General features: G+C 40.9%; 1 protein-coding gene and 1 long non-coding RNA gene across 4 annotated transcripts in view; one reads left to right on the top strand and one right to left on the bottom strand.

Moving 5' to 3' along the window:
* Positions 1 to 24,040, top strand: part of MAML3 (mastermind like transcriptional coactivator 3) — a 437,432-nt gene that overhangs the window by 13,990 nt on the left and 399,402 nt on the right. The window lies entirely within an intron of this gene.
* On the bottom strand, positions 1,338 to 12,180 carry MAML3-AS1 (MAML3 antisense RNA 1). The gene is made up of 5 exons (NR_147610.1): positions 12,108 to 12,180; positions 7,078 to 7,144; positions 5,073 to 6,146; positions 3,407 to 3,566; positions 1,338 to 2,540 (listed from the first exon to the last, which is right to left on the bottom strand). It is a non-coding gene; the product is annotated as an MAML3 antisense RNA 1 (long non-coding RNA).

The following is a 24,040-nucleotide window of genomic DNA, read 5'->3' as shown; positions in this document are numbered from 1 at the left end:
GTGCCACCATGCCCGGCTAATTTTTTTGTGTTTTTAGTAGAGACAGGGTTTCACCATACTGGCCAGGCTGGTCTCGAACTCCTGACCTCGTGATCCACCCGCCTTGACCTCCCAAAGTGCTGGGATTATAGGCGTGAGCCACCGCGTCCGGCCCCAAATAAAGAGATTCTTAAAGGTGCTGCTCTGGTCATGCAATAAAATTTCAACCTACAACTTTTCCTTAATTCTTTAGTTTAGCTACTCTACTGTCCCTCTGAGGAGTGCCATCTTATTTTTTGTGTGTTTGCTTCTAATATTTCATGGTTCTATTTCTTTTATTTCTAGCACTAGAATGTTTTCTTTCAAGGATGACTTTCACCTATATGCAAGGTAGACAACTGTCTTGCATTTTGCATGACGTACACTTCCCTTTATATTGATTATAGATAAATGGTTATCTAAATGTTTTGAATACTAGTTATTTCATAGCTATCTGATTATAACAACTATTAGATAAAAACTATTTTCCAAAGACTATCGAGATTACAGCTGTTGCAATAAACATGTAATTTCTAATTCCTTTGGAAAACATTTTATTTTTATTTGAAAGAGTCCGGAGATGATTTATAATAGGTAATAAATGACTAAAATCAAATCTTAACCTTACTATGGATTTTGTTGTTGTTGTTAAGAGATAGGGTCTTGCTTTGTTTCCCAGGCTGGTCTCGAACTCCTGTTTTAAACTATCCTCCTGCCTTAGACTCCCAAAGTGCTGGGTTGATAGGCATGAGCCACTGTGCCCAGCTGGATTTTTGTTTTTAATATAACTCAAAAAGTGAGTGTTTCAGACCGTTTCTTTAAAGAAAAATGTGGCAAAGTTTCAAGACTATTCCAGCCTGGGCAACAGAGTGAGACTCTGTCTCAAAAGAAAAGAAAAAAAAAGACAACAGGGACTTGCTCTGTCACCCAGGCTGGAATGCAGTGGCACCATCTTAGCTCACTGCAGCCTCCAACTCCTGGGCTCAAGGGATTCTCCTGCTTCAGTCTCCTGAGTAGCTGGGACTACAGGTGCCTGCCACCATGCCCGGCTAATTTTTAAAATTTTTTGTAGAGATGGTTTCTCACTATGTTGCCCAGGCTGGTCTCAAACTCCTGATTTTAAGCGATCCTCCTGCCTTGGCCTCTCAAAGTGTTGGAATTACAGGCATGAGCCACTCTGCCTGGCCTAAAGGCTAATTTTGACAGAATAGCCAAATAGCCATATGAATTTATAAATAGGAGTATCTTGTTAACATATACGCAAAGAAATTTGAGATATGTCAGAATTCAACAAAATTTTCTGGATACTAAGTCAAAGAAGATATGAAATTTTAATTCTTTATTCTTGAGTTTGGGCTTCAGGATGCCTAAGTGATAATACTGCCAGAGTCCCCAGCTGGGGCAAAGCATAACATTCCCTTCCTATGCTGCCATCTTCTGTTCCTGGCTCCTTTTGTGCCCAGTTCTAATCCACTGTGGGACTTCAGTCCATCGTTTCCCCTCTCTCACTGGGGAGAGTGTGTGGCGATAGCAGTGGACTCCTTTGCCAAGCATGCAGGTGGCGTTTGTCTTTAATCACTTAAGGTATTTCCTCACGGTGGTGTGTGCAGATCAGCACCTCATGGGTTGTAACATTCTCTTACTATTCCCATCCTGCAGTAGCCCTCTGCCCGGAGATTCTCTGATGTTTGGTAAACAGAGGTGGTTTATATAAAGAAGCAACTTTCTCCGTTTAGAAGTTGTTATGGCTAAATGGTTGAAAATGTATTTTGCAGTTTAACTAGGAATTCTTAAATGGTTTGCAGCTGCTATTGGATTTTTTCACGTTCATTTTCTTCAATGAAGCATGGAGACAATGATTTTAGATTTGGATTTCATGCTACTTAATTCTTAGAACCTATTGAAGGAATATTTGAAAAAGTTGTTTGTGAAAATCGTAAATAACCACACTCAGAAATACTTCTGGCAAGTTGTATTTGTTAGAGTGGAATATGTCTGGATCCCACAGTGAACTAGGAACATGAAATGGTGACTTGGTGGGTGACAAAATGTGACAATCAGGGATGTCTGGCATTCAAGCTATTGAAATTTAAATGGGCTATTGCTTTTTTAGTGTTGGCTCCTGTTCTTAGATTTAAAGGATTTATATGAATCATTCAGGGGCTTTTTATTAACTTTCAGTTTGTGGTTGAGATTGGAATTGGAAGGTTCAGAAAGATGTAACAGTAGTTTCAAGTAAAGGAGCTTAATGATTGTGCCTGTGAGAATCATGCCTTCGTGCCCTCCACGGAGGCACAGGTTGTTTGTGTTACTGGTTTGGTAGGGTTCGTGTTTATCTGTGGTCTGGAATGTCAAAGGATTGCAGACTAGAGAACTTTGCTTTCCTCTTTATTCTGAAGTAATGGTGTAGGAGTTTCTGGTATTGACTTCTGGGGGTGGGGACCACCATATATGGAAGAAGAAAGGAGGATTGGCTGGCTTTGATATTCTCATCCACTTTTTCTAATGCCGTTTTCATTACTCTATTAACAAAGATAGTGCATACTTTGAATATTTATGTCTATCTTTTCCTTCAAAGTGTAATGCACACTTGTTTTCTTCAACTTTTTGTAATATATGTGTTTATGATACACTAAAGAGCAATAAATTTGAGGAGCGAGATAATTAGCTTTGACAGACTTACAGGAATGAGACTGTAAGAGGAAGAAGCAAGAGGATTGCTTAGAAAAATATTTGATTACTGGGCTTGAGGAAAATTATCTAGAAAGAAAATTTTCAATGTTAAAACCCACAACCATATGGGTGGCACAGGTTGTAGGAAGAAGTGACTACTTTTGTGACTTTTTGAAAAAAATTAAACTTTGTTTATAGTTTAAAAAATCTTCTTTAGGCCGGGCGCGGTGGCTCACGCCTGTAATCCCAGCACTTTGGGAGGCCGAGGTGGGCGGATCACGAGGTCAGGAGATCGAGACCATCTTGGCTAACACGGTGAAATCCCGTCTCTACTAAAAATATAAAAAATTAGCCGGGCGCGGTGGCGGGCGCCTGTAATCCCAGCTACTCAGGAGGCTGAGGCAGGAGAATGGCGTGAACCCGGGAGGCGGAGCCTGCAGTGAGCCGAGATAGCGCCACTGCAGTCCAGCCTGGGCGAAAGAACGAGACTCCGTCTCAAAAACAAAAACAAAAAATCTCCTTTAAAATTTTCAAAATAGAATTTTTAAATGGAGAAATTCAAAATACTGAATAATGAAATGGGAGGAAGAAAAAGCAACCCAGCCACTGGTGCTAAATTTCCTAAGGTTGTTCACATAGCCCTTTAACTTTAACCTCTTTCTTAGCATCATTGTTTATCATTTTTTGAGGAATCTTTGTTTAATAGCTAGCTTACCTTAAGAAATAGTTTTCCTTTCCCTTTGGTGGCTCATACATTTGGGGAAGTGACCTTCAAGAAACGTGACTCATTTTGCACCAACTTGACTTAGTCATCCATCCAGCCTCTCCCAATTTGGGGATCCTTTGCAAAGGGAATGATTAAACACTGCCCATGTCTATAAAGAGGGAGATTAACCATGGGTTCGGTTAAATTACTCCTAATATCGTACATTATTTTGTATTTTCTGGACTAATAAGAAAACTTGACAAAGTATAAGCGGTTGATTATGGCACAAAGTGGGGAGGGTTAAGATTCATGTCATCTGAGATAAACACGGCTCCAGTATCGCCATTATTTCTGTGGCCCTTTCTCCCTGGGTTAAATTATGCCCTCATCCACAATGGAGGTCATGATAATATGCGGTGGGGGAGGAGGGGAAGGGATGTATCTAGAACATTTTGGGATATACTGGGCTTATTGCTTATGAGAGAGGCAAGAGGAGGCTTTTTAGGGGAATTTCACTGAAAAATAAAATGTGCAGACACTTCACAGTCAAGGCTATGGGATGAATTACATTTGGCTCCTGCCACCTCTCAGCAGCAGGGTCTCTACACATGAACTAGGGAATTGCTTGAAGGAAGCCCCTCCCAGGAATGAGTGGGGAGAGCCAAAAGGTTTGGATTTCCCTATAAATTGAACCCACTGTCACCAGAGATCAGTGTGAGGGGCTCTGTTATAACGTCCAGCTTTTCTTCTGTCCACACCCAGGAGTTGCTCCTCTTCCTGCCACCCCATTCTTAAGTCTTTTGTTCCTTGAATAAATATTATGTGGTTTGGTGCTCATTACTCTTTGTTATGAAAAAAGGCAATTCATTAGGTTGAAGGAGAAGGGGGAGGGAGATAGCATTTTTCACCGGCGCATCAAGCGTGGTTACACTGATTTGAATTCCCAGAAAAGTAATAAAACAGTGAAAATAATGATAAAACAGCTCCTGGGCTGACAGCTGTGCAGCACATGGGGACACTGAAGACAGGCCCCACTGTTGCAGCAGGACAATATTGTGGAGCATATGGTGCCATGGCAAGCCAGTTGTTGAACTCCGTGGCTGGCTTTTGTTTGGGGAACTCTCTCGGCATTGGGTGTATGGTGGCTCTTCAGAGACGTCTAGTCTCATTGGCAAGAGGGCTCTTGGCCCCATGCCAGCCTTGCTGTACGGTGGCTGACCCAGGCCATGTGGAAAAGCTCATGCTTGGAAAACATTCACTCCTCCTTACTTTGGTCACTAATCAAATCATTTGTTCAACAAATATAAATTGGAATCTTTTTTCACAGCAGCCCAGTGGCTACATTACAGAGGGACAGTTTCCTCCAAGGATGCCAATTAATTATTAAATGCGTTAATTCATTGGTGCTCAGTACTTCTTGTAGGAGTGAAAGTTGTTTTGTTTTTAATGCTTTCAGAGCACTTTGCACATGACATCTTTATTCTTAAGGCTTAAATAGCTAAAATCAGCAAGTGTCTAGAGCCAGGGTTGCTGCTAGAAAGGAGATAGAGTATTCGTCTATGTGGTTTTTACAAGACAGTGTTAAAATAGGCCTTTTGCTGAGCATGGGTCTATTTTTTAAATGTGTGAAGCCAGCATGTGTATGTGCATAAAAAGTCTAATTAACTCCACTTTCCTCCAGAGGGGTCTCCTTGGCTGCCCTGTGAGTGTGCTCCACTGTGGCCAGAGTTGCACCATCCTCCTGAGCCCTTTATGACTTCAACACCTCTGTAGTTATGGACACCCATTCTGGTTTCTTTTCTTTTGATTCCAAAGTGCAAAGGATGATCCAGCAGGGCTACTCGGTCCTGGGAGAGGTTCCTTCAAACGCAGCAGAAGGCGAGGCTCAGAGAGAATCACACTCCATGAGGAGGGGCTGTAGCCCGTGCCATTGTGATTCGTGCCTGAGAATATTTTTATTGCAAGAGCTAAAAGGAGAAAACGGGTGATATTCACACTCTGATCGAAGAGCACCAAATGTCACCATATTCTTGGTCTCTGTGGGACCTTTTTTTGCAGAACACCCATGAAGGTTGGTGGGGTTATGGTGCTGGGACAAGCGAATTTCTTTTTCTCATGAACAAATGTCATTAAAAGGCCAAAATCTACTGGAAAAAAATACACATGTATGTATATGTATATTTATTTCTGTGGTGTTTTTCTAATCACTCATCGGAGTTTATATTTTAACACTGGGCTCTGCAAGGGGAACTGATATTTTTTCAGGCTTTAGTTTTTACATTTTTAATCACTGGTCTTGAAAAAATGTTTTTAAGTGGAGAATAGATCTGTTTACAAATCTGCTGTAAGTAGATATGCACTTGCTGTAGCATTCAGGGTTGGGGAACATCTATGCCTGTGCCCTGGAGGTGATTCAGAGCATCTGGAGAAATGATTGGGGTTCTGTTTTCTTCTTGACTTGCCTCGCTTGACTTGGTTGTACAAGTTCCTTGAGTGTGGGAACATCCTTTCAACCTTTCCTTTCCTTAATGTGTTTATACGAGTCAAAGTTAGGGGAAGTATTTCTGGTTTTACTTTCCCCGTACTTCCTAAGTTAGGGGACCAATCTACATATTCTCCCTTTAAGAAATGGAAGCAAGAAGATAATGAGCCACAAAAGACCTGCAGTTGACTCTTCTTGCCCTGAGCACTGTGGAGCCAGTCATAGATAGCCAGTCCTGGAGGTTTTAATACAACTGTCACAACCTCCCTGGAGGGAGAGATGGGAGAGATGGCAGAAGGGATGAGTATGGAATAAGAAAGTTGGAGAAAGAGGAAAATGGTGAGGGTAAAAATGATCATACATTTTGAGGTGTTAAGTATGGGTAAAAAATCAAATAGATGAAGTATCCTTGTTTCTGTTTAAATCTGTAAATATCTGTATACATACAGCCATTTTATGTTTACAGAATGAGACAGACATTCTGATTATGCAGCATGCTTATAGGATGAGTGGAGCGACAGTGAGACCTAGCTTACTCACTAGGTCACCAAATAAGTAGGTGGCAAAGTAAAAGAAGAAACAGGTTTTTGACTGTTCTACCTTTGCTACAGGTTTTCCAGTTGGATGAAGAAATAGGAATCTGAAAATGTAGCTACGTTGTTTTACAGACTATTAGGAAATATAATCTTCCACGGTTATGGGGACAGTTCAATTAAAAAAAAACTTGCCCCTCCATGTGATTTGTATTATAATTATTTAATACCTGAAGGACTCTTATGATTGAATTTTAGGGTGCTTCGTTTACATTCTAGCTGGTGAGAGTTGCAATACTATCACTTTGTGGTCCTCTAATTGCTGTCCCAAACATTCAAAAAATGCCCTGTGATTCAATTATAAGTATCTTTTGGGGACTGTGTAATTATATACTATGTAGTTATCATTATAAAGCACCAGGGGACATTAAGCCAATCAGATAGCTTTAGTGGCTGGTTGTTCATAACCCTGTAATTGATACCACAAGGTGCTTTGGGTAATGGTACAAATTTTATAAGGCAGGACCACTGTAGTTTTAGGTTCAGGAAAGAGTTACATACTAATTTTTAAGTTACACAAATAGGACTTTTAAAGTAAACTCTCTTTTTTTTCTTTTTGTTGGCTTTTATTTAAACCTAGTCAAACACTGTAAATAAATATTTACCATGTATATGGCATGTAACAGCACATAGTGGCTCCTTTTGATAGAAATCCATCTCTGTTCTCCCCTCCTTTTAAAATAAATACAGGTATCAAAATAATCTTCAACATATTTTTGATAGTACTTATAGTCAGCACTCACATTTTGTAATAAACTCTTATCAAAGAGTGGACTGACCAATTTGTTCAGAATAAATGAAATAGGAAGTTTCACGATGTAGACCAAAAACCTCTACAGCTCTCATTGAAAGGAAGGGGGAGGGTACAGTTGCATATGTAAAGCTATGTCTTTGTGAAACTAAAATTAAAGCAAGAACAATACAAGAAAATATGCCGCATATAGGAAATAATTACTAGATATGTGTACCTAGTAATCTTTGAATTACAGAACAGTGAACAAATGTTTTCAGGGATGTTCGTGCAAAGTGAGAAGTCTTCAGCCTGCTCTTCCCAGGGCACCACGAAGGCATTTGCTTGCAGACGTTGCCTTCTTCGGAGCTCTTTTAAAGTGGTCGCCAACTCTCAACAGCAATTGCTTCTGAGTAGTGTTCAAACAGCCCTGACATGGGTCCCTTGGTATATCATTATCTAGTCTCATATTTAACCTTTTTCTAATAGCCTCCCCAAAGTCCAGAGTTTCCAGTTAGTGCCAGAGGAAGTTAGAAAAGGCGTTTTTTTCCTTGTCTTGACTGCACAGCTGTGAGAAGCACAGGTATCTGAGAGTCATCTTTGTTTTTCCTTTCTTTGTCTATGAGGGACCAGTTATATTGGAAAGTAAAGTGACTTGTTGAGATAGGCCAAGCTTTGCAACGAGTGTCAACACACTAATAAGAACTTCCCTTTTTCCAGTTTTTTACTGAGCTCCTTGTGGATTCACTCTTTTCTTACAGGAGAGAAGGGCAAGGGAGCACGAGCATTCGTGGACTGTGCCTCTCCTCCTTTTCTGTATTCTTCAACTTGCCATTGCAGGAGCATGTGTACCAGTAAGAGGTCCGTACAAGCTGCAGAGTGTGGGCCGGGCCTGAGGACAGTGATTGCATGGGTGTAGGCTCCACCCTGGCACCTCTGTGTGGTGAACAAGACCTGTTTATCCAATTGCCGCACATACACACTCATGACTGCAGTGCCTTTAAATGGATGTTACTTTATTAGGAGAAGCATATGGAAATGATGACATCTCTGATGTCTCAAATAGAGACTGGAGACAGCAATCCTGAATGTATGTGGGTGGAGAACACCCTGGTGTCTCATTTTGAGTGGAGACAAGGGTCAGATGACCCAAAGAGCCTTCACCTTCACCCTTCACAGCCCCTGGCTTGGTGCTGGGACAGCAGTAGACTGATTGCTGATGTTTGGGCACTGCTGCCAACATCACATACCACTGCTGCCCCTGAACTTGGACATGGAGATGGCAGAGGTGGATGAGATGGGCCATGGAGGGGAGAGCTAGATGGAAGAGGGAGGGAAAAAAATGAAATAGAGCAAGGAATGGTAGGTGACATTGGATGTTGACTATTACCCAGAATTAGTTTTTGAAATGGTGAGAGGAAAAGTTACTCCACTTTTCTTAGAGATAGCTTGTAGAAATTCCATTCTACTTTTCCTTCCTGGCTTGTTACCTTCTAAAGCATCTTTGTGGTTCTGCACAAATTCCAAGGTACCTTCTGCCTCTGTACTAAGTTCTATAGCAGAAGTAGCATGGAGGTCTGCAGGAGAAGTAAGCCCGCCTCTTGTGCAGAGCTCTTCCCTCTACTCCCTTACCACTGCTACAATGAACTTTGTGACCTTGAGCAAGTCACTTCATCTTTTAGGACCACACAACTCAAGGTTTGATTCAGTTGACTTTTAAGGGCACGTTACAGTGGAAGGAACAGATTTCAAATTTTTAGTAACTTTGCATAGCGTTATTGGTACTACCTTAAATCCTAGGAATATCTGCATCCTTCTTCCTGGCTACCTAGAGTCCTCCACCACTACAGAAACAAAAGAGGGCTTGACCTTCACTGAAATGACTGGAGGGTTTTGGCCAGCAGATAATAGTTTATTAATTGAATGTGTATGTGCATGCCCCCTGCTTGGAAGTAAGGTGAGTAGAATTAGGGCTAGTCAGCAAGATGTGAAGGGATTTTTCCTAATTCTGCTGGTCCTCTCTATTTAGAACCTGGGTCTTCCCTTTCCTCATGCTCTCCTAGCACCTTATACATGACGTGGCAGTTGTCCTGTGTTGCTTATGGGTGAGTGGCCAGCGCTGGGTGGTGAGCAACTTGAAAGCAAGGTTTGGATCTGACTCATAGGAGGAACTCAATAAATGTTTCTTGAATGAACCTGCATAATATTGACTATTTCATCATATCCTTATTAATTACAGCATTAGTCCTGAATTTCAGGGCTAGCATCTTGTAATATGGCTTGTAAGCTAGGCCTGTAAGCTTTTCTTCTGGTTAGTTGGGGCCACTTTTCTTGTCTTTCAGTTACACTTATCCGTCTGCTACCCAATGGTGAAACCAAGGCATACTTTAAAAATGCAATTTCTAAATGATTTTTAAGTAAAACTCTTCTTTCAGCAAGGCCAAATAATATCCAAAAGGTTTTAATCAGTTTTTAAAAATCATTGTATAAGCTGCAGTGTTCAGGCCTTTGTAGCAGATAGGTGACCCTCAGAACAATTTTTTAGACTCTCAATTTCTTCCTAGGAGACTATCTCATACAACATAATACTGTACCACTTTTAGTTGAACTTCTTTTAGAAATATGCATTTGGGCAGATAAAATTATGGGGGTGAGAAAATGGGCCAACCTATAGGACTCACGATATATGCAAACAATAGTCTGTAAGCGTAGACATTGTTCCTTCAATTCTAAGGGTTCATGTCTGTTTTTGGCCTGGGGTTTACATAGTGATTCTGCTGAGATGCACGGATAAACTGCTTGCCCCATGCCACAATTGAAAAACAAAAAGAGTACCTATTTGGTTTAAGTTTGGAAACAGAAGGTTTTTTTCCCAAGTTAACTTTCTTATCCGTCTTTTATCTTTCAATTATGTCTGTGCCTCTGCTAACACCTAGATTTATTATTGGTGCGTTTTCCACAATTGCGGATTCATTAGAATAGTAACAAATATTAGGTTGTTTTGTTTTGATTCTTTTTTTTTTTTTTGAGACGGAGTTTCGCTCAGGTCACCCAGGCTGGAGTGCAGTGGCACAATCTTGGCTCACTGAAACCTCTGCCTCCTGGGTTCAAGTGATTCTCCTGCCTCAGCCTCTCGAATAGCTGGGACTACAGGTGCACGCCACCATGCCTGGCTAATTTTTGTATTTTTAGTAGAGATGGGGTTTCACCATGTTGGCCAGGCTGGTCTCGATTTCTTGACCTCGTGATCCGCCCGCCTCGGCCTCCCAAAGTGCTGGGACTGCAGGCATGAGCCACCGCGCCCGGCCGTTTTGTTTTGATTCTTAATCACCAGTTAGACTTGGGGTCTTTTCGTTGCTGTATGGATTGCGCAGCAGCCTGAAAATTTCTGTTCTTCCTTTCGTTTCTACACGTTTGGTCTCTCTGGCAGACTGAGACTCAGCCTGTCTTTTCAGAGAACCAAGGGAAATTATCAAGCAGGCAAAATCTACCTGCTCTTCTGCTTTACCTTTTAAAACTATGTGCTGCAGCTGAAATCAGTTTTGATTTAATTTGATCAAAAATAAGTGTCTCATGCAAAGAAGGTATGCATAAGAATTGGGGGTAGGGGGGATTTAGAGTCACCTTCTTTGTAGAATTTTGGTTTGACCTTCAAACGGGACAACTTGTGTTCTAAGTTATTCCTGCATATAGCATCTACGTGGGGTCCACAATTTGTCATGGCCTAGAAGGGGGCTTCCATGGTCCCACTGATGGAAAAAAGTGATAATACTAACAGCTCACATTTTCTGAGTGTGAGACACTTTTAAATGCTTTGCATGTTATCATCTCTTTCAGTTTTCACAATGACCTTCTGAGGCTCGTCTAATTATTGTTTCCATTTAAAAGATGAGGCTACTGAGTCCCCCGAGAGTTTTGTTGATTTGTCACAGTTAATGAATGGTGGAACAGGGATTCAAACCTGGACATTATTGCTCCTGAGGCTGTGTGACTACGACTCTGATGACCTCTCGATGTTGGTCCTAGAAGGAGACCAGTGGATTTAGGTCTTCGGAAGACTACCTATGCTAGTGGAGCGTGATGGAAGGGAAATCTTGAAGGTTCACACCTAGTTGTTACTTGTTCCATTTACTCCCTGCCTGGGTCTCTCCACTCTGCCCTGACCTCAAGGACAGGGAGACGCTTCTGGCTTGCTGGGGTGTTAGTTCTTTCTCTTGCCCTGCATGTGGCCCACTAGCGATGGTTGTTGTGAAGATATACTGTCTACTTTATTTGTTTCCCTCCCAAATTGCCACAGTCAAAGTCTTCTCTGGGCTTGAGCACACATCTAGAGGACCACTGCAGCTGCCTTTGTGTGGGGATAGCCTGTGTGGGTGCACCCTTTTTTGACACACAGAGTGCTTTCCAAGAGCTCCAAGTCCTTGGTGTTAGAAGGATACTCCTGCTGCAAAGATCCCATTGCCCATGGGGAGCTCTGAGCTGACATTCCCTAACAGAACCCAAGTAGTGGTCAGAGCTTGGGGCTCCTTAAAGGCAGGGGTGCTGCTGGGTCTGAAATAGTACTTTGGATATTGCAGGTGCTCCATACATATCCATGGACTTAGTTGATTTTTAGCCCTGCAGGTTGTTCCTCAGCACATGGTTCTTCTCTGAGCTCCATACTGCCCTCATCTTCGCTCATCTGTGACTGTATCTAAACTCTTCTCAAACCTATGAGTATTTTTGGCTTCTGCACCTCCTGAGGTGTGATGAGTTCTCTGTTTTTATGAAGAAGAGATCTTACCTTGTATTGTTCTAAAGCACCATCTTAATTGAAGGTAGGAGGAGGAGTTTGGAGCAAACCAGAGAGGAATATGGACAAATGAGGGGCAAAAGAGAGCCAGGGCACAGCAGAAGGGGCCTCACCAGGGAGAAGAGGAGCTGCCTGTTCTGTCACTTAGCTCTCCATGATGTGCTGGGATGCTGTCTGTGAGGCACTGGACGAAGGCAATTTAGTGAAGTCACATTAAAGTGGCTCCAAGATTTGATGTCACAATAGGTCACTTTGACCTTCTATTTATGATCAGCTCTTGATGTACACATAAAATTTTGGGAAGTAAGTAAAATGTATATGGAGGTTTGGCTTGCGTTCTGGTGAATAAGGTCCAGGAGGTTAAATCTCTGTGCTTTTAGTACAGCTACTTGGTATCTGGGCCTCATTTCCCCACCTGTAAAGCAGGGGTAACAGTAGTTCCTTCCTCATAGTGTTGATGTGAGGACTGAGAGATACAGTTCTTGTAGAATTTTCAGTAAAGTTCTGGATCCACAGTGAGCCTTCTATAAATATCAGCTGTTATTATTAGCAAACCACCAAGATGCCCACTATTGTGCCTCATGATGGCAGGCTCAGTGGGAAGCCAACATGTTTTCTCCAAAAAAGTAGAGCATGACTCTAGGTTTGTGGTGCTTGTTAGATGGAAGAGTCGAGCTTTTGCTGGCTCTCTATACCTCTCGTGTGGAAGGTGCTTAGCATGTTTAGGCCCCATTGCAGTGACTATCAATGTGAGTCCAAATTCCCTCCACACTTTCTGTCACTCCTTTTGGACATACCATATACTGTCTCCCATCATTTATCACTGACTGGCCACATGGCACCGCTTAGGAGCCAGATGCTGGGCTAAACATTGAAGTGACAACCATCTGGTTTACTGCCCCTCCCCTGCAAGAACCTGAGGGCTCCATGGATGGAGGATGAAGGTACAAAACACAGGGCATGAGCAGGGAATCATGAGTGTTTTGGTGCTGTTGAAACAGAAAGCTCAGGACGTAAAGTGGTGGAAGAAGAGGCTGGTGAGAGAGGCAAGGCATTAGGACGTGGAGGGCCTTATCTGCCACGCTCAGAAGCATAAGCCCTATGACATAGGAGAAGAGAAACTATCAAAGGATTATAAACGAGGGTGTGATGTCATCATGACCATACGAAAGATAGGTTTGAGACCAAGACTGGGTGGAGGGAGGTCGGTGAAGATGTTACAGAATACTCAGCAGAAGATGTTGAAGGGCTTCAAGTAGGTGAGTAGTGGGTAGAGATGGAGATAGGAGACCATTTTCAAAATATATTAAGGAGTCCATTGAGTAGACAGGGGGGACTGAGAGAAATCAGGGATGACTTCCAGTTTTCTGGCTTGGAAAATGGTGTTACTAGCCAATTTAGGTTTTGGAGGGAAGATGTTTGGTTTTGGACATGCGACGTTTAATGGGTGTATTTATGGTCCATTCTGAAGGGATGTCTGGTAGTCATTTGGATGTATAGGACTAGAGTTTAGCCAGAGGTCTGGGTTGCGGGTATAGACATTGCAGATGGCTGAAATTTCAGAGTGGATGAAATTGGCAAAGCACGTATAGCAGGAAAAGAGAAGAACAATGGCAGGAACTTTGGGAAACACAAGATTCAGTGTATTTCTGAAGGAGGCGATCCTTCAAAGGAGATGAAAAAGGAACAGTCCAGTTGGCGAGGAGCACCAGGAGAGTGGTGTAGTAAACACTAAGGAGAATATAGTCAGCATAATCACATGCAGCGAGATAAGGACCAGTCTCCTGGGATTTGGCAACTGGAAGCTCCTGGCTTTTTGTTAGAGGGTTTACAATAGGATGGTGTCAGTAGAGGCAGTGGATGAAACGTATGGAAGAGGAGGGGCTGACTTGACTAAGGAAGAAACGGCATGTGTATGAGGGAAGAGACCTCACATTTAAGAGGGGCCCCTTTCAAGTAGTTGGTAAACCTTTTGGGGGTTGGAATGCCTTGAATATGTGTGGCTTCCTTTTTTTTTTTTTTTTTTAAACAATGCTTATTACAGTCCTTTATTATTATTATTACTCTTTTAAAAGAGGGTCCATTAAATGGAATAATGGTATTGCCTCTTTAACACCTGTACCTTGGCCAGGCGCGGTGGCTTACGCCTGTAATCCCAGCACTTTCAGAAGCCAAGGCGGGTGGATCACGAGGTCAGGAGTTCGAGACCAGCCTGACCAACATGGTGAAACTCTGTCTCTACTAAAAATACAAAAATTAGCTGGTGTGGTGGCACGTGCCTGTAATCCCAGCTACTCAGGAGGTTGAGGCAGGAGAATCGCTTGAATCCGGGAGGCGGAGGTTGCAGTGAGCCAAGATTGCACCGCTGTACTCCAGCCTGGGCGACAGAGCAAGACTCTGTCTCAAAACAACAACAACAACAACAAAAACACCTGTACCTTATGGCTGGGCACTGTGGCTCATGCCTGTAATTCTAGCACTTTGGGAGGCCAAGGCTGGAGGATCACGTGAGGTCAGGAGTTTGAGACCAGCCTGGGCTACATAGAGAGACCCTGTCTCTCTACAAAACAAACAAAGAGACAGACAAAAAACCTGTACCTTCTCCTCTACATAGGAGTGATGTGGTCAGTCAGTTTGCCTTGTGCATGAGTAAGTATATATGTGTCATATAATCTGGATTCTTGCAAAGGACAAATAAGAATAAAGTCATGTGATGACCAATACATTTTTAAACGTCTTTATTTTTTTGAAATTACTTTTTTAAAGTTTTTAAATTAAAAGTGAGTTTTAAAGAAAATTAGAGACAATGTCTTGCTGTGCTTCCAGGCTGGCCTCAAACTCCTGGGCTCAAGCAATCCTCCTGCCTCAGCCTCCCAAGTAGCTGGGACTACAGGCATGTACCACTGCACCTGGCTCCAATAAATTACTTTTTGTGGTGAATTCTTCATTGTTTCATATTATACACATTTGAGTAGCTTTTATTTTAAAATGTTCTTTTATTCAGTATATATCATTTATATGTGTTAATATTAATTTATATTCTGATATAAGTTGACATGTCTTTTAATAGAACATACATGAATTGAATGTCTAAATTTCAGAATATAGAAAAATAAGCTAAAGTTGGGCTTAATTAAAAAACCAAAGTCGATGCTCAAACTCTTTAATTATAATTAAAGGACATTAGAAAACAATTAATTTGTATGAATCATTTCTTTTGGAAGAATTTGTTGCTTCTGCGCTGTAGCATCTGACTCTTGGCATTGGATATAGGGCCTCTATCATCTGGGTATTTGCCTGTGAGGCTTGCTTCTGTGTGAGTTTCAGATACTGGAATTGCTCTCGTCATGACCCTAATCATGGCATTCAGGTTGCTCATGGCTCTGCCACCTGCACCAGGGCTTTTCTATATTAATAACAAGGTGTAATCCATGTTTTCTAGCAGTTTACCAGCTAAAGGACTGCAAAGGAGGGCCAACTTAAGACTAATTAGTATTGCAAATAGGTCTGGTAAACCCTGAATGTCCAAATGCTAAATCTACTTTTCTAGCTGTTCCTGCTTTTTAAAGAGGTGCTTAGGCCTCTATTTTGTGATAGCTTTTGATTTCTTCTATTCTTTCACCTAGATTTTATTGTGCTTTTGGGGGTAACTTGTGCAAGGTCTCCAGACGCTTAAGAGAACACTTCCTAATGGTTATATTTTCCCAAATTACGAGAAAACTTGGAGATGTCTGAGCGTGTTTCCCTCCTAGAAACTCTCCCAGCCATACCTAGTCAGTGCTGTTTAAAAGGGGTTTTCACTGCATTAGGCACCAGCTAAGAGCCACGAAATAAGTCAGTATGGCTCTGTCTTGGGCATATTGAGGAGCTAATCAAGAAGGTTGTATCTTGGGCAATGTTTCAGAGTAGCCATCATTTTCAGCTTTCTATGCACAGATTTCAAGGTGCTAACATAGACACGACAGTGTGCGTAGTGTGGTGGATTGAGACTAGATGTTCAAGAAGCCTCAAGGAAACTGGAGAGGAAGGGCAGAACGTGTGATTGTTAAAAACGTCAGAGAAAAGGGCAAGGTTAGGTAAGGCATTTTGACTACTCAAGGTAGAAGTCTGAGAAGAGAGAAAGCTAGTAAGTGGTTACTGATATATGTTTGGAAATTCTAGGGGAGAACTCTGGGTTTTTCCTAAAAACTGGAATAAAACAAGGGATTTTCATTTCAAGCCTTAGTCGCTTTGGGGTTCATTGTGAAATACGATGCAAAAACAGTGTTATTTGTTGTGAAGCTGCCTAAGAAAAGGTCTCACCTCGCACCACCTCAGAAGCCTTACAAAGGTGTAGGGTTTTTCCCTGCACCTTTATCCTTTTTATTATGAATGAGTTCTTTCTTACCTCCCCAACTTCATTTTATTATTCAGAGTCTATGCAGCACCTGCCTACACAAAAAGAAATCAACCATCTTTGAAAGATGTTGGCCCCCTCACAATAGAATTTAAAAACTTTTGCTCCTTAAATGTTTTATCTTATTCAGATCTAAGTGGTGGGGAACAATAATGGACTTCAGATGTGAGTCTTCTGATGGGGTAGGCTGTACTTTTTTTCTGTGGCTCGAAATGACATCCCTCTGGACGGATCAGACTTAGGAACCAGAAAACAGAAGACCTAATGAAAGTTACATTTGAAAGAGAGAAAGAGAAAATAGGAAAATATATTCAAGAAGTTCACCCACCTTGACATCTTAGAATAATCAATTTCTCACCTACTTGTAAAAGTACATCTTTAAAAAAAAAGTACTCACAATTATACTATTCAGTAGTGACATGTACTATGAAGTTGGGGTTTAACTTTTTAGACCTTTATAATTATGTGAATATAAACATAAATGTACCTTTTTCCTTTTTCCAAAATTGTCAATCCCTTATAAATAATTTTATGGTTTATTCTGTGTGTATTTTTGTAAGCTGTCTTAACAAACCTTGTTTGGGACAGGATAGGACTAAATAAATATGAAGTCACATTGTAGTAGAAAAGTAGCTGTGGTCTGAAATGTGCCAGTCCTTTGTTGATTGTAGCTGTATCTTTAAAAAGCTACAGAGCAAAAAAAAAAAAAAAACCGCAGAGCTTTACCTAGAAGAAGTTTGAAATGCTCAGAATTTCTATTTTTGTCTGATTTTGAGTATCATGGCCATATTGGTTTACTAGAGAATAGGAGAGATTGGAGTAGAGAGTAGGAAATAGGATGAGATAGTAAGAAAAGTATTTCAGGAAAGCTCAGACCTTACCAGCAGGTTAAAAACTCTTAAGTATTTGAAGTCCTTAAAGATATTTACTTCAAGTTAACTATTGGTGTGATTTATTTTAAGAAATGATGGCACTTTTAGATTTTCAAAATGGTTTTTTTTTTTTTTTTTTTTGAGACGGAGTCTCGCTCTGTCGCCCAGGCTGGAGTGCAGTGGCGGGATCTCAGCTCACTGCAAGCTCCGCCTCCCGGGTTCACGCCATTCTCCTGCCGCAGCCTCCCAAGTAGCTGGGACTACAGGCGCCCGCCACTACGCCCGGCTAATTTTTTGTATTTTTAGTAGAGACGGGGTTTCACCGTTTTAGCCGGGATGGTCTCGATCTCCTGACCTCGTGATCCGCCCGCCTCGGCCTCCCAAAGTGCTGGGATTACAGGCGTGAGCCACCGCGCCCGGCCCAAAATGGTTTTATAAAATGGACTTGTTTGGTAGGCTAAGGCAGGCAGATCACTTGAGGTCAGGAGTTCCATACCAGCCTGGCCAACATGGTGAAACCCTATCTCTATTAAAGATATGAAAAGTTAGCTGGGTGTGGTGGTTCAGGTCTGTAATCCCAGCTACTTGGGAGGCTGAGGTAGGAGAATTGCTTGAATTGGGAGCCAGAGGTTGCAATGAGCCGAGATTGCGCTATTGCACTCCAGCCTGGGGGACAAAAGCGAAACTCTGTTTAAAAAAAAAAAAAAAAAAAGTCTCGTTTGATTATTCCTGTGAGAAGAATCAATTTCTCACCTACTTTAAAAAATAAGTATTCAAAAAAAATCACTCAAAATTGCACTGTATTAGCCTCAAGACTTGAGTAATTCATAAAGGAAAGAGATTTAATCGACTCGCAGTTCCAAATGGCTGGGGAGGCCTCAGGAAACTTACAATCATGGCGGAAGGAGAAGCAAACACAGCCTTCTTCAAATGGGGGCAGCAAGGAGAAGTGCAGAGTGAAGTTGGGGGAAAGCACCTTATAAAACCATCAGATCTCGTGAGAACTCACTATCACAAGAACAGCATGGAGGTAACTGCCCCATGATTCAGTTACCCCCCACTGGGTCCCTCCCATGACACGTGGGGATCATGGGAACTACAGTTCAAGATGAAATTTGGGTTGGGACACAGCCAAACCATATCATGCACTATTGAGCAGTGGCATGTGCTATGAAATTGGGGTTTAACATTTTCTTTAGATAAATAGTTCCCTTCAGTACCTTTTAAGTATAAATACCTCTAGTATATTTAAATTTTGTCTTGGTCTTTAAAATTTGACTTAGATATCACTTTGAGGGATTAAAGCCAGTTAACAAAGTATGTCTGTAAAACTCTAGTTTTTGCTTTGCCATATTGAGTATCAGCGTAGGCTAAATCAGTGGCTAGTATATAACAATGAAGGCTTTCTCTCTACTTTGAGTCTACACAGCCTAACACCTCTTTTTCCCTTTCAAAGTGGTGCTTTAGTCATGATTGCCAGCCAAAGAACATTTCTGATTGATTGTAGAAATTGATTGTAGAAGAACCTTGGAACTTGTTTACTATTAGAATCAAGGGAAGGACGTGCTATGTCGTAAAGTTGCTGGGATAGTCTTCTAAGGCTTCCAAGAGTGCATTATTTATTGGAAAATAAGGAGTATTTAACATTTTAAATTTCACCTTGGCCATGGTAAGTGCCAGTGAAATATTAATATTTGTATCTATTTGGCACAATTAGGAATAGCTAAATGTCTCTGCTTCGGATACCACTGTGCAAGATAAAAACAATCCCAAAGCTTTAAGAAGCCAAGAAATTGAGCCTGAGTTCATCATAGTTTTATGCGTCCAAATGAAAATGACTTTGCTTTTTGCTATTTCTCTTTGCAGCATATCCACTGGCAGAATTTTCAGTGAAACAACTCTTCTGTAAACTTAGAAAAGTGCAGGCTATATTAGAAGCTTAAAGTTAAGTCTGTCCCTCAGTGTGGATTCGGTGTTTAGCCCAAAAGATTTTTGTTGATAGTAGAAGTACATTTTCCATAAAACCACTGTGTGTATTTTTAATAATGGATAAAGATTGCCACAATGTAACCCATTCCCAAGGATGCTATTGAGTTGTGAACCGAACGTTACTGCAGTGCTTTAGCCCTGGGAACAAGCAGTGAAGGACACCTTTTCCCTATCTGTTTGTAATTTCAAAATGAAAAGAGAGTAAAAAGACCAGTTAATAAAATAATCCATATGTTTCTCTATGAGGAAAAAAAAAGATTAAGGAGAAACTATTCGATCTTAGCTGTGACCAGTCTTTATATGGGAAAAGATTAATTCTGATGGACTAACTATATCTAAAATTAGAACTGTGGGAAAAGGATTATATGCAACAAAATGCAAAAGATTAATGTGGAGGCATGATGCCTAACGATTGGATACCCTTAAAATATTAATCTACATCAGGCACATTTGCAGTTTCATGTACCAATAAGGAAATAGAGAAACAGAAATGATATCATATCAAGAATGATACGAAGCCTTTTAACCAAAGGTTTTGTTAATTTGTCTTTGGTTAATAACTACTTTTATAAGACATCATCTAGCTTTTTGTATATGGTATCAGTAGTAACCTGTAATTTAATACTGCTCATTACTCATTAGGGGAGGCACTCAGATTCACATTGTAGGTGTCACACTTTGGTTAGCTTTTTTTTTTTTTTTTTTTTGAGACGGAGTCTCGCTCTGTCGCCCAGGCTGGAGTGCGGTGGCGCGATCTTGGCTCACTGCAAGCTCCGCCTCCCGGGTTCACGCCATTCTCCTGCCTCAGCCTCCCGAGTAGCTGGGACTACAGGCGCCCGCCACCACGCCCGGCTAATTTTTTGTATTTTTAGTAGAGACGGGGTTTCACCGTGTTAGCCAGGATGGTCTCGATCTCCTGACCTCGTGATCCGCCTGCCTCGGCCTCCCAAAGTGCTGGGATTACAGGCGTGAGCCACCGCGCCCGGCCTTTGGTTAGCTTTTAACCTCAGGAGACAAACTTGATTGTGATTGGAACTCTCTTTTCAAGCCCACAATAATTACTAATTTTCCTCTCTAGAATAGCTAATAGTAGTTGACTAAATAGAGAGATTGAGAGATGTTTGACCACATAAGAGATCCTGTCTTCAAATGCATAAATATTGTGGATCTTGTTTGTGCCTGTGGTCCCAGCTAGCAGGGAGGCTGAGGTGAGAGGATCCCTTGAGCCCAGCAGTTGGAGGCTGCAGTGAGCTATGATTGTGCCACCGTGCTGTATAGCCTGGGTGAAAGAGCAAGACCTCATCTAAAAAAAAAAAGGAAGGGAGGAAGGAAGGGAGGGAGGGAGGGAGGGGGAAAAAATTGTGTATCCCAAAGTGTCTCAGGAAGGAAGGAAGAAAAAAAAATTGTGTATCCCAAAATGTCTCTCCAGAAGATACGATAGAAGAAGTCTGTAATGACTGTATTTAGGTACACTAAACCAGCAGTGCATATCTGCAAATTGGTCATGAGATGTGAGAAAGAAAGGTAAGAAAAGTATATCTAGGAAGGTACTAGGTTAGTTAAATTAAGTTGATTTCTGTCTAATGTAAGACTTTAATGGCTGAATCTGGGTTCCTTTCATGCCTCCTGAAGTGAGTGGGCAAATGGTTACAATGCCATTTCAAGCGCACCTATTAAAAATTGTGGACTACAGTAACATCTTTTAAAGTGGTCTCTAGGAAGGGTTATGTAGTGGAAACTGAATAGGTTTTTCTATTGTGTGAGATTGGAAGTGAGAATAAGATCTTGAGGTTGACCTTATCGGGGTGAATTCTGAAAACGCCCATATACCACACCTGACTTTTGCCTTGAATTCTCTGGGGAATGCCACCATACCCCTTGCCTGTTAATGTATGTATTGAAGCTAGCTTTGACTGAAGCTGCTGCTTACTACCATTCCCCTGGCTAACAAGCCTACATTAATTTCCCAAATCCTTTGTCAAAAAAATGATTAGGTTGGTTTGAATGATTACACTTAGAATGTAGGATGCTGCATCCATTCTGTGTGTGCCGTCAGAGGCCTTGTGTGGGGGAGGTGAACAGAATCTAATCAACTTGGGTTACTTGATCAGAAGTGGCTCTTACGCATGTTATTTTTGCAATCGGAGAGAATGTTAGGCTCTCTTTCCCTGCTACAGCATGATCGTTTCCAATGGGCCATAATACTTTATGAATATTGACCAGAGGCATGAATCGAGGCTTTCCAAAATATATATTTTTAAATTTGAGATAGGATCTCACCATGTTGCCCAGGCTGGTCTTGAACTCCTAGGCTCAAGCAGTCCTCCTGCCTTCGCCTCCCAAAGTGCTGGGATTACAGGTGTGAGCCACCACACCAGGCCCCAAAATATTTTCAATGTTATATACTCTTGGTATCTGTATTTTCACCCTGGAATAGAGGTTCCACAAAGGTAGTCAAGGTTATGGTTCTGCTACCTCATCCTCATTTTCATTGTTTATTATTATTATTAGCTAATACTTATATGCTACTTACTATGTACTACACTGTACTAAGCATTTCATGCTTATTAGATCATTTAATCTTCAACCTAATGAGATAGGTGTATATATATATACAGATGAAGAAACTGAGGCGCAGAGAGGCTAAGTGACTGGATAAAAGTCATACAGCTAGTACACGGTAGGGCTGTGGTTTGGACCCAGGCATTCTGGTTCCAGAAGACTGCACTCAGGACTATTAATTTTTAAAAGATTGAACACGGTAGGGAAAAAAAAAAAACAAACCCACAAATATTTTAACCTGGGGGTTGGTTGTAGCTGATATCAGAGAGAACATTTTTTGTGGTGGTTGTCTAGCTGTAGGCTCTGAAGAAATGCCGGCTGTGGGTGTCATGATTCTCATTTTAGAAGATTAAAAAAAATAAATTTAGTGTGTTCTTTTAAGGTTTTATTTCTTTTGTGTATTTGCATATATTACCATGCGTGGTTATCTGTGAAAATCCTTAAAAATGTGTAACACAAATTACCCTTAGAATTACTAGATTAATCTTTCCTTCTTAATCTGAACTATTGACTTCTGATATTGTCTGATGTGCTTAGAGAAACTGTTGGGCTCCTTTGATAATCTCATGTTTTTGTAATTTTATTAAGGATATACCTATAATTTAGAAACATTTTATTTGTATTTTTATGAGACTTGGAAGGTGGCATCAGATTAGATCAATTTTTCTATTCTCTATTAATAATTTTGAGATTATATATACACATACGTATATATGTGTATATATATATATACCTGTATACACATACATACATACATATATATTTATATATTTTTTTAGACAGGGTCTCGCTCTGTCACCCAGGCTAGAATGCAGTGGTGCAATCATGGCTCACTGCAATATTTTGCAGTATAAAAAACTGATTTGGAATCCCTTGCTTTGTCTCTGATTAAGCATTTGTATATTTTCTTAAGGAAATAAATATTCTGTAAGTCATACTTTTAAAGTTATATAGTTAGAGTATGCTTAAAAACATAAAACCACATTAAAGTTTAACTTATTTTTGGAAGTTAGGTTTTAATGTGGTCAGCAGCACCAAGTAAAAGTGTAAATTTAGAAACAGCTTTTAAAAGTCTTACTTGAAAGAGAATAGTAAGTGTGTAAGAAAATACGAGGGAGATATTTGGATCAATATAATTAGGAACCCCAAACATTTGCTTTGGGTTATAGTAAATAAGATGCCAGATAATGGCTTTCCCCATAATTAGGATTTTGCTTGTAATAAGACCCTAAAAATCACCCCAGATCACACTAAGGGTAAAAGGAAGAGACTAGAGAAATCCCCATTTTGAGAACTTTAAAATTTTTCTAAGGAAGAGGAAATAGAGCTTTTTAAATTCTGCTGTGGAAGAGGAAAGACAGTCCAAGTCTGGAACTCAGCATGTTCTGCAAGCTAGAGATCTAACATGAGTGGAGGTCCTGGGTTAATAGTGAGAACACTCTGAGTGCTAGTATTACAGAAGGTGATCTCCATAGCTATACTCTGTGTCTGTATGTAAAGTGCCCTATGCTTTTAAAAAAATCTCATCTGTGAAGGGAGATGGAAACCCAAGTGCTGATCTTTTGTCATCAATAACAATCCCTAGTCACATCTTTACAAGGTAAGTGTTACCATTCATTTGGGTTGACTGTGTTTAGCTTTCTAAAAACCTGCTGCCATTTCAGTTGAGTGAAGCATGATTCACTTCCTGCCCTGTAGGGTATACACCAGCCTTAATGGTTTCGTCTGGATGTGGCCAGAGCTGTGGAGGATGGAGGGAATGGCAACTTTTGAAGCAGTGGGGTTAGAGGTTAGAGTGGCAGTCTCTAACGTGACTTTCTGAAGGAATTGAATCCAGGCAGTTGGCTCCACGTGACTTGTGTTCTCTTTTGTATTTCTTTGTCAGCCTCCCTGTCCTTTTACTGAAGTAGAATAGACACCGTCTTGGTTTCTGGTGATTGGCAATAGCCCTGAACATGCAAGAGAAATGTTCTCTATATAGGTGTCATTTTCAGGAGGGCTAGTTTTGAGTAAGGATCTTCCTGAATAGGAGCTGATTCCCTGGGGGCCCTGGATATTATAGAGTTGTTTTGAACACATGAACACATGAAAAAAGGTAAAGAATTCAGAAATTTAAGAACACAGTATAACTTGATTAATTTGAGCCCAGATGTTAATAATTTGTGGTATTGTCATAAGGCTTTTTGCCTTATATGAAGGAGTGCTTGTAAACAGACTAATAGTAAAT

Source organism: Homo sapiens, chromosome 4, assembly GCF_000001405.40.
Source record: "Homo sapiens chromosome 4, GRCh38.p14 Primary Assembly".
Taxonomy (NCBI): domain Eukaryota; kingdom Metazoa; phylum Chordata; class Mammalia; order Primates; family Hominidae; genus Homo; species Homo sapiens.
This window is presented reverse-complemented; position numbering and strand designations above follow the sequence as displayed.